The sequence below is a fragment of the Homo sapiens genome, chromosome 9 (genome assembly GCF_000001405.40).
Source record: "Homo sapiens chromosome 9, GRCh38.p14 Primary Assembly".
Taxonomy (NCBI): domain Eukaryota; kingdom Metazoa; phylum Chordata; class Mammalia; order Primates; family Hominidae; genus Homo; species Homo sapiens.
This window is the reverse complement of record NC_000009.12, coordinates 97,318,654-97,332,350: the sequence shown is the minus strand read 5'-3', so window position 1 is coordinate 97,332,350 and position 13,697 is coordinate 97,318,654. Positions and strand designations below refer to the sequence as shown.

At 47.2% G+C, this 13,697-nt stretch overlaps 1 protein-coding gene and 1 long non-coding RNA gene across 5 annotated transcripts in view; both read right to left on the bottom strand.

Annotated features, from left to right (window-relative positions):
* SUGT1P4-STRA6LP-CCDC180 (SUGT1P4-STRA6LP-CCDC180 readthrough) overlaps nt 1–13,697 on the bottom strand; it is a 138,870-nt gene that overhangs the window by 44,945 nt on the left and 80,228 nt on the right. For all 3 annotated transcript variants that reach the window (NR_036528.1, NR_036527.1, NR_036529.1), the window contains 8 exons: nt 12,146–12,225; nt 9,430–9,518; nt 8,448–8,570; nt 7,159–7,332; nt 5,682–5,797; nt 4,205–4,331; nt 2,158–2,197; nt 1,584–2,029 (listed from right to left, as the gene is read on the bottom strand). This is a non-coding gene — a long non-coding RNA (SUGT1P4-STRA6LP-CCDC180 readthrough). The remainder of the gene's footprint in view (nt 1–1,583; nt 2,030–2,157; nt 2,198–4,204; nt 4,332–5,681; nt 5,798–7,158; nt 7,333–8,447; nt 8,571–9,429; nt 9,519–12,145; nt 12,226–13,697) is intronic.
* CCDC180 (coiled-coil domain containing 180) overlaps nt 1–13,697 on the bottom strand; it is a 71,415-nt gene that overhangs the window by 46,401 nt on the left and 11,317 nt on the right. For both annotated transcript variants that reach the window (NM_001348010.4, NM_020893.6), the window contains 8 exons: nt 12,146–12,225; nt 9,430–9,518; nt 8,448–8,570; nt 7,159–7,332; nt 5,682–5,797; nt 4,205–4,331; nt 2,158–2,197; nt 1,584–2,029 (listed from right to left, as the gene is read on the bottom strand). In NM_001348010.4, coding sequence (NP_001334939.2) covers nt 1,584–2,029; nt 2,158–2,197; nt 4,205–4,331; nt 5,682–5,797; nt 7,159–7,332; nt 8,448–8,570; nt 9,430–9,518; nt 12,146–12,225 — 1,195 coding nt within the window. The remainder of the gene's footprint in view (nt 1–1,583; nt 2,030–2,157; nt 2,198–4,204; nt 4,332–5,681; nt 5,798–7,158; nt 7,333–8,447; nt 8,571–9,429; nt 9,519–12,145; nt 12,226–13,697) is intronic.

The window sequence follows — 13,697 nt, the reverse complement described above, 5'->3', positions numbered from 1 at the left end:
GAATAGCAAAGGCAATCCTAAGTAAAAAGAGCACAGCTGGAGGTATCATGTTACTTGACTTCAAACTATACTACAGGTCTACAGTAATCAAAACAGCATAATACAAGCACAAAAACAGACACACAGACCAATGGAATAGAATGCCTCACACCTAAACCATCTGATCTTCAACAAAGCTGACAAAAACAAGCAGTGAGGAAATGACTACCCATTTAATAAATGGTGCTGGGTAGCCATATGCAGAAGATTGAAACTGGACCCCTACCTTATACCACATACAAAAATCAACTCAAGATGAATTAAATACTTAAATGTAAAGCCTAAAACTATAAAAACCCTGGAAGATAAAATAAGAAATACCATTCTGGACATAGGACTTGGCAAAGATTTCATGATGAAGATGCCAAAAGCAATTGCGACAAAAACAAACATTGACAAATGGACCTAATTAAACTAAAGAGCTTCTGCACAGCAAAAGAAACTATCAACAGAGTAAACAGACAACCTACAGAATGGGAGAAAATAATTGCAAACTATGCATCTGACAAAGGTCTAATATCCAGAATCTATAAAGAATTTAAATTAACAAGCAAAAACCAAACAACCCTATTCAAAAGTGGGCAAAGGACACAAACAGACACTTTTCAAAAGTAGACATACATGTGGCCAACCAGTATATGAAAAGGTGCTCAACATCACTAATCATTAGAGAAATGCAAATCAAAACCACAATGAGATACCATCTCATAACAGTCAGAATGAATATTATTAAAAAGTCAAAAAACAACAGATGCTGGCAAGATTGCAGAGAAAAGGGTATGCTTATTCACTGCTGGTGGGAGTGTATTCCAGTGTGGCAATTTCTCAAAGAACTTAAAACAGAACTACCTTTTGACCCCACAGTCCCATTATTGTGTATATACCCAAAGGAATGTAAATCATTCTACCATAAAGACACATGCATGCATATATATTCATTGCAGCACTATTCACAATAGCTAAGACATGGAATCAACCTAAACGCCCATTGACAGTAGGACTGGATAAATAAAATGTGGTACATATAAACCATGGGATACTATGCAACCATAAAAAGAATGGGATCATGTCCTTTGCAGCAACATGGATGGAGGCCATTATCCTAAGCAAACTAACAAAGGAACAGAAAACCAAATACTGCATGTTCTCACTTTTAAGTGGGAGCTAAACAAAGAACACATGGATACTAGGAGGCGAACAGCAGATACTGGGAACTATTTGAGGGTAAAGCGTGGGAGCAGGGAGAGGATCAGAAAAAAAAACAACAACTATTGGGTACTATGCTTATTAGCCCGCTGACAAAATTATCTGTAAATCAAACCCCCATGATACATAGTTTACCTAAATAACAAACTTGCACATGTACCCCTGAACCTAAAATAAAATTTTTTTAAAGTATGAATAGTATGAATATTTTTGTAATTCTCTTTCTGCACCTCTATGGAGACTGGGCCACTGAAGACCCCAGCTTACACTAGGGATAAACACAAAATGAGCATAGCAAACTTTCTCTATGCCCAAGAATGAATCAGTTGCTGGCTTACCTCACCCACAGATAAACTCTCTTGCTCTTCCTGTGCCTCCTTCTCCTCCTTCTCTTCCTCCAGCTTCTCCTCCTCCTCCTCTTCCTCCTTCTCATCTTCCTCCTCTGACTCCTCCTTCTTTTCTCCTTGACCCTTCACATTCTCCTCATTCAGGGATGGGTTTAAGGAGCCCTCTCTTTCAACCTGCATTTCTTCCAGTCCCTGAATAGAGCCTTCTTTGGACTCATCCATCTTAGCATGCAGTGGAGATTTTTTCTGCTGCCCCAGCACCTCTTCAGTTATGAAGGACTCCATTTCTTGATCGTTTTCTTCTTCCACCTCTTCTACTGACCTGGCAGTACTTGTCCCACTACTTATGCTTTCCTCACTTCTGGTCATGTCCTCTTTAGACCCTTGCTTCTTCCTCAGTTTTTTCACTCTCTTCTGGGAGGGTTTTTCATGTGCTTCTGTTGATGATAAACACCAAAGCACAAGGAGAGACAATTTACTGATGCTGCCTGGATTGGGCCTCCCAACCCACAAACGCGTAAGAGTGAAGTCTGGGAGAATAAAACTTGAATTGAAAAAGTGTTACCTGGTTGCCTGAATTTGAAAATGACTTCTCCAGCCAAGTTCTACAAGGAAAAACCAAGAGTCACTGAAGGACCTGCACTGCCTTTCTTCAGAGTGCCCCCCACCTTTTTTTTTTTTTTTTTTTTTTTGAGAGGAGTCTGGCTCTGTTGCCAAGGCTGGAGTGCAGTGGCGCGGTCTTGGTTCGCTGCAAGCTCCGCCTCCCAGGTTCACACCATTCTCCCGCCTCAGCCTCCCGAGTAGCTGGGACTATAGGCGCCAGCCACCACGCCTGGCTAATTTTTTGTATTTTTAGTAAAGACAGGGTTTCACCGTGTTAACCAGGATGGTCTCCATCTCCTGACCTCGTGATCCGCCCGCCTCGGCCTCCCAAAGTGCTGGGATTACAGGCGTGAGCCACCGCACCCAGCCCAGAGTGCCACTTTTAAGTAAAAGGACCCATCCCTCCCCTTTAATATCTGATGCAGGCCTTGACCAACTTAGTTCCCTGGGGTAATTGGGTTGTTCTCAATCCTAGGAACCAGTTTTTCTTAATTCCAAGAAGGCTAGCAAACCCTTATAGCACACAATGGGTAATCATGGAATTAAAGCTCATTATGATATATTTTTTGGCAGTGATCTGGAGCAAAGGGCAAGAAAAATATAAACTGAGGGATGCAAACAAAGGGCAGAAATCTGCTGCATTCTGTGCTAGATGGAACAGACACAACAGGCATGATTTACATGATCCTGAGAGCCCCCTTGTAAACCCTGCAAATTTCCTGTTTCACAGGCTCTGGGTGAAGTTTTGGATATTCTGTGTTATGGATAACAGTGCAGGCTGTGGAATTTGCAGGTCTGGATTTGATTCCCAGCTCCTGACAAGCTAAGTGATCTTGGGCAAGTCCTCTACACCCTATGGGGCTTAGTGTTATCTTCCATGAAATGGAGATCATAATGGTGCCTATACCTTTAACCCAGGTGATCCAAATGATCTCAAAGGGCAGGCAATAAGTTCGCCATCCTATAGCTTGAGCTTCCCTCTCAACCTAGGTGGCACAGGGAGCAGCTATTAGCAATCTAAACAGGAATCTCTTCTGGGAGGAGAGATGCTCAGGGAAGGAGCCAGGTGTCCTGTATATGTGGGAAACCTTTGGCCAGGTTCAGTGGCAACCATGAGTATTTCCATTCAGGCCAGGCAGGACTATGGCTGGTGTGCGGGAAAAGAGCCAAACTCTGGGGGATTCAAACCAGGGAATCCCAGGTATTCATGCATTTACCCAGAGAGCATTTATTGTGTCTGAATTATGTGCAAGACCCTTGTGCTAATGACAATCAAAATTGAATAAAAATTAAGGCATACTTGCCCTTTAAGAAATATATTATAGTTGGGTTCTCCAGACTCCTGTATTTGACAGCAACCAAGCACAAAAAAGTTCAGAGCTCTGAGAGGTGGCAGGGGCTGAGCAAGGTGAGATGAGGGGTCAGGCTGAATGAGTGGGAGCCTTTCTCTTGGTAGTGAATTGGAGGTATGGGTGGGTTTGGGATATGTGGAGACAGAGGGGTCCCAGCAGAGGGAGCACGATGAGGAAGGGCAGCAGGCAGGAGGCACATGCCAGAAGAGGGATGAGTCTGCTGGATGAGGGAGAGTCAAGGTGGGAAGCAGAGAGAGTGGGGCCTTTGTGGTTATCTAGGGACTGTAAGTTGGATTTGGTGGGGGCTGCACAGTTGGGGAGGGATTTTGCAGGAGAGTAGGTGGGTTAAAGCTATATTTTAGGAGAATTATGTGGCAGTGGTAGGTATGATAAATGGAATTCCAAGCACCATATAAATTAACCTTTTCATTATAAGTCCATTCAGGCTTGAGCCCTGAATTCTGAACCCTTCAGCCTCTTTTATACTGAGAAAGAGATGGTCTCTTTAGAGACACTTTCAGCTTCTTTCTTCTTGCATTGATTTGAACTCTGCAGCATTAGGAATGGCTTTCAAAGTCTAGGCAGATCATAACAAGAAGTCAGCCTCTCCCTTAGCTTCTTCATGAGTGGCTGGGTGTATCATCACCCTCTCCATACCTGTTCAAAGATTTCACGCACAAAGAAGTATTGGCTGAGGGCAGAGCTGTAGGAGTTGAGTTCTTTCAGCATGATCGCTGGGTACTCCATCACTTCCTTTGTCAGGAGGGTGTGAAAACATTCATACCTGGGAGGTAGGTAGGTAAGACAGGAGACCCCAGCTAGGAACCACACCCCTGACCCCAAGGAGATGGGCTGCAATCTGGCACACAACTCTGTGTAGAGCTGCTGTGTGGCTGCTCTTTTATAGCAGCAGTCCTTGGCTATGCTATTTTTCTGATCATACGAGAAATACATACTTTTTGTAGAAAGTTTGGAAAACACACACAAGAGACTTTTCTGCTTGTAACATGAGCTCCCTTTCCCTGTCCAGGGTCCTAACTCTGTCTTTGGTCTTAATGCTGTCCTCGAACTTGACGGTACCTACATTATTCCATCAAACTCGCAAATGCCCCAAGGTCCAGACTTCTATTTCTCAGAGAAGTAGACCAAGGCTCATAGGGTTACGTACTTGCCTAAAGTAATCAGAATTGCCTTCTGAATCTAAGTACTGCAATCAATTGGCAGTGTCGTTCTATTTCTGTGAACAGTCCTTACAGAATCAGCTGTACAAAGTCACAAAGATGCAAGAAAGTTCACAGAGAACTGCTTGTCATATTGAGAAATTGGAACCAATAGAAAACAGCTAATCAATTGAGGGATTGCTAAACCATTATGAAGTATCTACATTAATGAATGCTACAAGGCATTTAAAAAAGGAAGTATATCTGTAGTTATGGAACAATTTGCACGGTATAATCCAACCTTTATTTTAAAAACACTATGTATGTGTATATATTCATATATATAAATGTATATGCCCATAAAAAAGGAAAAGTGGGCAGGAATGAGGGAAAAAAATCTCTATATGTTTGCAGTGGTTAACTTCTTTTTCCCCCTTTAACAAGAATGTACATGTTTAAATTTTTTTTTGTTTTTGAGACAGAGTCTCACTCTGTCACCCAGGCTGAAGTGCAATGGCATGATCTCCTCTCACTGCAACCTCCGTCTCCTGGGTTCAAGTGATTCTCCTGCCTCAGCCTCCTGAGTAGCTGGGATTACAGGGACCTGCCACCACATCTGGCTAATTCTTGTATTTTTAGTAGAGGTGGGGTTTCACCATGTTGGCCAGCTTGGTCTTGAACTCCTGTCCTCAGGTGATCCATCCACATCTTTAAATTTTTAAAAGAAGGCCCCATGTTCTTGAACTTAAGCTGCATTGCTTTGAAACCTCCCTCCAAAAACTTTAAAAAATTCTCCCTGGAAGCTTCTTTGTTGGCTGAGAGTAGAGCTGCAGAGGGCCACATGCTTTCTAAAGTGAGAGGCACAATTTTCATCTTAAGCTGGCAGGCTCCTGGGCTCTTGGGCAGGCTGCCCTTGACCTTGAAGATGAATTCCTGACCATCCCTTCCTGCCTTCTGGAGTCTGGTTGGCCTACCTGGATTTCATGTTCTTCAGATAATCTTTGACCTTTTCCAGGTGAAACGCCAGTGTTTCTTTGTCACTTTGCTGCCTCAGTTGGTCCAAGAGCCTATCGAGGTGGGCCTCCTGCACCTGGAAGCCACCCCCAAAACAAGAGGAAGCAGATGTGACCTCCAGTGCTCACAGAGTGTAAGTGACCTGCAGGGACCCTGCTGCTGGAACTGAGGCCCAGGTGCCTCAGCAGACCCAGGACTTCCTTTCTACAAATGGGGTACCCAATCTGCCACCACCCTCCCTCTCTCCACTATAGCCCTCCAGACTTTTCTCTGCCTGCAGTGTTCTTCCCTGCCCACATCATACCCCTAGGGAACCAGCTCAGATGGGACCCCCTGGAGACAGGGCCCTCACACCCGCCCACCTGGTCAGGCCTGCACTACACCTGCTCCTCGCTCTTCTTCTCACCAGTCGTGCTTGAAATCAGAAGCTGAGTTTGTTCCCCCACCTCCTGGACTGTGTGAGAGCAGGCAAGGCAGGGGCCAGCTGACCTCCTGTGCAGGCAGGAGATTGCCCCAGTTATGGAGCTTTGAAATGATTCCCAACACGTGCACAATTTGCTACATGAATGACATGTTTGTCTGTAATAAGAACTTGGAGTGTCTTCCCCTTTTTCTTTCAGAATGTGATGTCTTATCAGACCCCATATAGGAGAACTTGGAGTTATTCCCCCCACTCACCTTGGGAATGTGATGTCACCCTTAACAGCCCCCCATATGTGAGTTAACCTTAACTACTGGACTTCGAAATACTCAAGAGTTTGACACTTCAAGAGCTTAGGCTGAGGCAGGTTTCACTCTGTCAGTGGCTTCTTTGAATGAGAGAGAGCTCAGGCTGTGATAGGCACTGGGGCTATGAAGCCATGCCACCAGCACCGGCACTACCCTCTGGCTTCCAGGGACCTATGTGCCATCACAGATGTCCACTGTGTTCGCTTGCAAGCCAGTTTCTCCTGAGAAACCGCACATAGAAAGGCACACCTGAAGCTTTTATTAGACTTCCCATGGAAGCCTGCATCCATCCTTATTGAACAACTAGACTTTAATAGCTTTGCAGCTCACAATGTGCCTAAAGTACCTTGTCTACTCCCTGTGGATGTATTCCTTTTGAGGTTGGTTCATGTTATTCTCCCCCTCTTTAAGCATTGTGAACCTATGAAAAAATTCTCTTTCAATGGCAATAAAGTGTGTGATTCGTGATACCATCCTTTAATCGTCTCCTCACTTGAACCATCTGTCTGTCTCTCATGCATGCTCTTAGAGACACATTTGGTTCCAGGAGATTTCTGCTACTCCCATCTGATCCCATGACCAACGTGAGCCTCAATGTCCCCATCTGCACAAATTTCATAGCTTAAGGTTCTCCATTTGGGTCAAGGATCTGTTTGAGTTCATTGCTGTTTGTGGTGTGAAACATGGAGCCCCGGGTGTGGGTCTCACCTGGCTCTCCAGGCTGTGCTTCTGCCGGTGCTGCTCCATCCTCTTCTCCAGCTCCAGCTCCTGCACCAACAGCTCGCTCTGGTGTGCCTCCCACAGTTGTACCACCTCCTGGAAATACTTGAAGAGGTGTGAACTCTGCCACTCTGTCTGATCTGCCAGAGTCTCGAAGGATTTCTGCAGTGGCAGAGCCCAGAGAAGGGACTTAAGGGCTGACAGTCCCAGGGCCAAGAAGAGGGCCCACCTGTGGGACCCCCTGTCTCTAACGACTGAACAGTATTGCCCAGACACCGTCCCTCAAGGTCAACTTCTAGGCCACACCTGTGCTCTTGGTCCTCCCTCCCTAGGGCAGCGTTTCAGGTCTGCCCAAGGCCCTGCCCTTGGTCTTGCTGACCCTCAAGTCCCATCTCTAGACATATCCTGTGCTCCACAAAAGTCTCTGACAGGAAGAAGATGGAGTTTGGGCCATTCCTAAAAACCAGGCTGGGCACTCAGGAGGCCACAGCAACACTGGCCTGGGCATCTTTCCTTCTGTGGAGTTCCCTCACTCATGGCATCTGGGCCAAACACCACACCTGCTGTGAAATCCTCCACACCACCCACCTTTTAAAAAAATGTACGTGTCTTATGCCCTCATCTGGGCCAGGGGTGGGCAAGCTGCCACCTGTAGACTAAATTTGGCCCTCTACCTGTTTTTGTTTGGTCCTGTGAGCTACACACAGATATTCCAGTTTTAAAATGGCTGGAAAATAATCAAAAGAAGATATTTAATGAGATGAAAATTACATACAATTCCAATTTCAGTGTCCATCAATAGTTATTGGAACACAGCCATGCCATTTGTTTCTGCATGGCCTAGGGCTGCTTTTGTGTGGCACTGGTGGAGCTGACAAGGTGCGTCAGAGACCTGATGGCCCACAGAGCCTAAAATAGTCACCATCTGGCCCTTCACAGAAAACATGAGCCAACCCTGGTTCAAGATAACACGTGTCTTGGGCTGGGGGCTTATTGTGCCTCCACAGCCCTTCAGTGCCCAGGGTCAACAATGGCCAGGGAGTGCTCATGGCATGGAGTTCTGCGCAGCACCCATGTCAGTGGGTGGCTGGGAGGAGTCCGGTGAGTGAGCTTGGAGTGGCCAGCGTAAGGGGGCTACTCTGAGAGGGGCTGACAAGGGTGAGCGGACACACTAGGAACATGCAAGTTGGAGTTCTTGGACTCTCCCTACAGCCCAGCAACCCCGGGGACCCCCAACCCCACCTCAGCTCCCCAGTGGAACAGTCCCCAGCACGCACGTCCAAGAGCTCCAGGTCCTCCTCCACTTTGCCCTGGAGTGCTCCCACCATCTGGAAGAAGAACTGGTTCACCAGGGTCTCTGCCTCCTCCTCAGTGAAGGCTTTCCAGTCCAGCAGCTGCTTCTGGAGTGTGTGGGACAAGGCAGAGCCTGGCTTAGGACTGAGGTCCCCACAGGCATCAGCTGCATCCTACAGGCCTCAGCGTTGCACAAGTCAGACCTGAGCTCCAGGTGAAGGGCCCTGCACCCCATGAATTCTGTTCCCCTTAGGGTCTGGAGGGCCAGGCATAAGCTGGCTGGAGAGGCATGCAGGAGCTCTCGGGAGGCTCCCCAAGTGGTGCTCTCAGCCGAACATGCTTCACAACAGTTAAGCTTTGGGGGTGGGGGCATCACTTACAGTCTTACCAAGGAGGCAGGAAGGGACATTCTGACTCAATAGTTCCCCTAACCCAGAGAACAAGTCACAGTCGTGCTTGGGTTTGGGAACGAGTTTACTGTCTCACTCTGTTATGCAGTGGGCAGGGTGCAGGGGAAAGTGGGGCCAGGCCTATCTATGAAGGGGGCGCATTGCAATAACCCCCAGGACATGACCTCCATTCATAAACAACGCCCAGTGCTGTGTACGACAGAGAGTCAAGGGTGAAGTCTGAGGTGATCTGAGAGCGCACACTTCATCTTACATGGGCTTCCTGGAGGAGGTGATGGGTTAAAACCTGAGAGATGGCAGGGATAGCTGGGGAGGGGATCTGGGCAGAAGGAACACCTTCAGAATGCCCAGAGACCAGTGAGCACCAGGCATTGGGGCTATGAAGCCATGCCATTTTCTTCCATGAGGAAGAAAAGCTTGGATGGAGGCTAAAGGGTGTGTGGGTGTGAAGTGGGGACATAGCTGGGGAGGGGAAGGCAGTGGGTATGGGGCCAGGGAAGGCACTTCAGGTCCTGCCCAGGATTCCTCTTCTCAGGCCTGCAGGAAGGGTGCCCACCTTACAATTCTGCACATGCATCAGGCACTCCTGCCATGTCTTCTCATACAGCAGGCGGATCCGCATCATGCAGTCCACGTGGTAGGTGTCTCCATGGGCAGAAAACAAAGCAAATCAGTCCAGAAGGAAGAGAAGATTAGAAAGGGGAGTGTCCCCTTTGCAAAGGAGCAAAATGCCTCCACAGCAACATTTATTTAGGTGAAGATCAGTGGTCCCGATTGAGATCAGGGGCTGGGGTCCCCTTACAAAGTTCCTGACATCCCAAGATAAGGATATCAAATGAAGAGCTTGTCCTTATCTGTTCTGAATCCATTCTGGCCCTAATTCTTGACTCGGTTTCAGGGCTGGTGAAATTCCTTTTGGGAAACTGCACCAAGTTGTAAACCAGTAATGAGAGTGGAGATCAATGAGCATTTACTGATCCTATCTGTGGTTCATCCCTGAAAAACGGAATGCACTAGCAGAATGCACAGAAGCTGGCTTTTTTATTTATTTTCTCTATTTCTCCTCCCTTCAGTTTCCCAGCTTATAATAAACTCAGTGTGACTCTGATGTCTAGGATAAGCAACTCTGGTTTAGTGCTGCTGGCAATTTCTAGAAACTGAAAGACCACACAGAGATTTTGTGGTGGTTGTTCTTTGTCCAGGGCTGGGGAGGAGGGCAGGGGGATGGCAGCTAGGTATAGATTTAGGATACCTGGGAGGGTTGACAGATGCTAGAACTGATGAAAAGAAGCTCTAAATCTGCTTCTTCCTGTCCCCAGGGCTAGTTCCTAGGCCAAGGTATCCACACCCTTCTGTGAGGCCACTGTGATGGGCTCTCCCAGGTCCCCCTGCTTCCACTACTGCATCCCTCTGGGCCATTTGCGCCCCCTGACATCATCACCCCCAGCTCAGAACCTTCCACTGAGTTCCCACTGCCCTCAGGATAAAGCCCAGACTTCCACATGCAGCCCACGTGGCCAGCAGAGTCCAGCTGCTTTGCATCTTCCAGCCTCCCCTCCCTGTTTCCAAAGGCCCCAGCCCTGTCTTGCCTCCGGGGCCCTGTACACTGTATCCCTGCTTGGAATGCCTCCTCCCTCTTGGCCTGGCTGACTCTTACCTCCCTTGCAGTTCTCAACCACTTCCTTGATACTTCCTTGTCAATGTTTCCACGATCCTGAACCAGCTGTGTCCCTAACTGTGGCTCCCATGGCTGGGGACCTGTTCATTCTCCACTTGCTCTGACTTCTGCTCTGGACTGGAAGTGCCGGAGGGCAGAGCCAGCTACTGAATGCCAGGGCCCAGCACAATGCCTGTCTGTAGGAGGCACTGAATGAATGGCAGCCATTGCTATTATTTAGGGTCCTGTGGCTCATACAGAAACACTCTTAGTATTATAAACCTGAGAGCCCTAGAAGCAATGGCAGGTACTACTAGCCAAAGTACCCAGGCTAAGTCTAGCTGTGACACTTCATTGGCTGTGTGACCTTGGGCAGGATACTTCACCTCTCTGTGCCACTAAACCCTTCTCTTACTACAAGAGGACAATGACACCACTGACCTCACTAGATTGTTGTTATCCTCTAAGGAGATGAAAAACTTTTTACATATCTTCTAGAGCAAGTCGTGGCAAACCTCATACAGTCTCAGTTGTAACTACAGATGTTCCTTTATTTACAATGGGGTTATGTCCCAATAAATCCACCATAAGCTGAAAATATCTTCAGTTGAAAATGCATTTAATATACCTAACCTACCAAACATCATGGCTTAGCCTAGTCTACCTTAAATGTGCTCAGAAAACATACATTAGCCTACAGTTCGGCAAAATCATCTGGCAACAGAGTACACTTGTTTACCCTCATGATCTTGGGGGGCTGACTGGGAGCTGCAGCTTGTCACCGTTGCCCAGCATTGCCAGGGAGTATCACACCACGTATCCAGGCACCACAGCCCCCAGAAAAAGAGCAAAATTCAAAATCTGAAGTACAGTTTCTGCTGAATGTGTATCACTTTCACACTACCATGAAGTCGAAAAGTCCCAAGTTGAACCATCCTAAGTCAGGGGCTATCTGCTTTCATCTCTGCCATTTACAGTGAAAACAGCCACACAATACATCAACAAACGAGGCAGTTGGGGGTCTAACAACACTTAGTTCCAAAACCAGCAGTCAGCACACACGCTACAGCCTGACTGCCCTTATTATAGAGCATTTTGAAACATCACCATTTGTGATTGAGGATTCTCTGTGTAAGCCAGGCACTGGACTACCACTGGACATCCACCCCACAAGTAGGGACCATTATTACTCCTCTTGCCATCCCTATTTTACAGAGGAGGACATTGAGGCTACCAGAGGCCCTGATTTTCCCAAGGTCACACAGCCTGGGAGGAGCAGAGCTGGGCATCAATACTATGTGCTCCACCTCACACTCTTGGGGCATGCCTCTGAGCCTTCCTCAAAGAGGGTATCAGAGCCATCTCTCTGTCTCCATGCTTGGGTCAGGGGTCAGGGGTCATAGGGTGCGGCTAGTGTAGCTGCAGGCTGGGCACTGAGGAGGGGAGGCCTTAGAAGGGAGGGGGGCCTTTTGAGCCCTCAGAGCTCACTTTTCCTGCCACACCCCCATCCCTCCTCCCCATGATGGCGGCGCCACTCATTTGGCTGAGCTTCAGCAAAGCAACTGCTTAAACAGTTCTGGAGAAATGCAGGTGGAGTCCTGCAGACGTCACTCACCTAGCTCCTTGTTCAGGGAGTTGAGGGAAGAATGCCACTCAGTCAGCTGAGTTTTGCTGTAACTGGGGGGCAGGAGGTCACTGGGAAGGAAGATACAGCAAGTAAGCCACACAGGAACAAACCGTTTACTCACCAAAATGGGTAGCATCTTCAAGGAACATAGCTCCAGAAAATCATGGATTTAAACACTGAAGAACAAAGGGAACTGCTGGGGATTTCCTGGTGCCAAAACATGACATGGCTGAAAGGTCTTTTAATTAACAAATTCTAAGTAACGAATTTGTTACTTAGATAAGAAAAGAACATAATTTTTCCAGGGGAAAAAACAAACTGTTCACATCCCTTGACCAAGGAAGCCTCCTTCTGGGACTTAATCTGAGATGGCATTATAGAATGCACATAAAGTTTATGTATTAAGATGTTCACTTAACAATGCTGTTCATAAACACACATGATGATTTAAAAACCTTCACATCAACAGTAGAAAACTAAGTACAGCAAATCCTCTTCTGAAGTCATTAAAAATAGTGTCATAAAAAAAGAATGAGATCATGGCCTTCGCAGCAGCATGGATGGAGCTGGAGGCCGTTATCCTACATGAACTAACACAGGAACAGGAAACCAAATACCACAGCTTCTCACAAGTGGGAGCTAAACTTTGAATACATATGGGCATAAAGAAGAAAACAGACACTGGGGCCTACTTGAGGGTGGAGGGTGGAAGGAGGGAGAGGATGGAGAAACTACCTATCTTGTACTATGCTTATTACCTGGGTGACAGAATAATCTGTACACCAAAACCCCACAACACGTGATTTACCTATATAACAAACCTGCACATGTACCCCTGAATCTAAAATAAAAGTTAAAAAAAGGACACCAAATTCTTTTTTAAATTTTTATTTTTATTTTAAGTTCCAGGGTACATGTGCAGGATGTGCAGGTTTGTTACATAGGTAATGTGTGCCATGGTGATTTGCTGTACCTATTAACCCATCACCTAGGTATTAAGCCCAGCATGCATTAGCTATTTTTCCTAATGTGCTTCTTCCCCTCACCTCACCTTCAGACTAAGCAGGCCAACTCCCAGCTCTCTGGCCCTGGGCTGGCCAGCTGGATCTAGAACACTCAGTGGGCACCCCACTGAATAGCTTTCTTATGAAACTGAAATCAGGGCTGGTTGGACCCACATCTGAGGAGAGTGTCCACAGCCTCCGACAGGTGCCTCCAGCCTCCAGTGTCAGATGCCTCTGACACATACCTCCAAACTGCAAAGCTCATGGAGCCACTCTGCTCCCCAGTGCCCTCAGAAAAAGGTCCAAATCCCTCCACCTGGCCACAGTTCCTGCGTGCTCTGATCTGTGCCTGCTCCTTCCTCACCCCCGTTCATTGTTTCTTTCAAGTTGCTTGGCAGCTACACTAAGTTTCTTCCTGCAGCAAATGGGCCATGGCCTTTCTTGTGAGTGGGGCTGAAATGGTCCAGGTGGCCAGCCCAGGGCCAGAGAGCTGGGAGTTGGTCTGCTTAGTCTGAAGGATGCCTTGGGGGACAGAC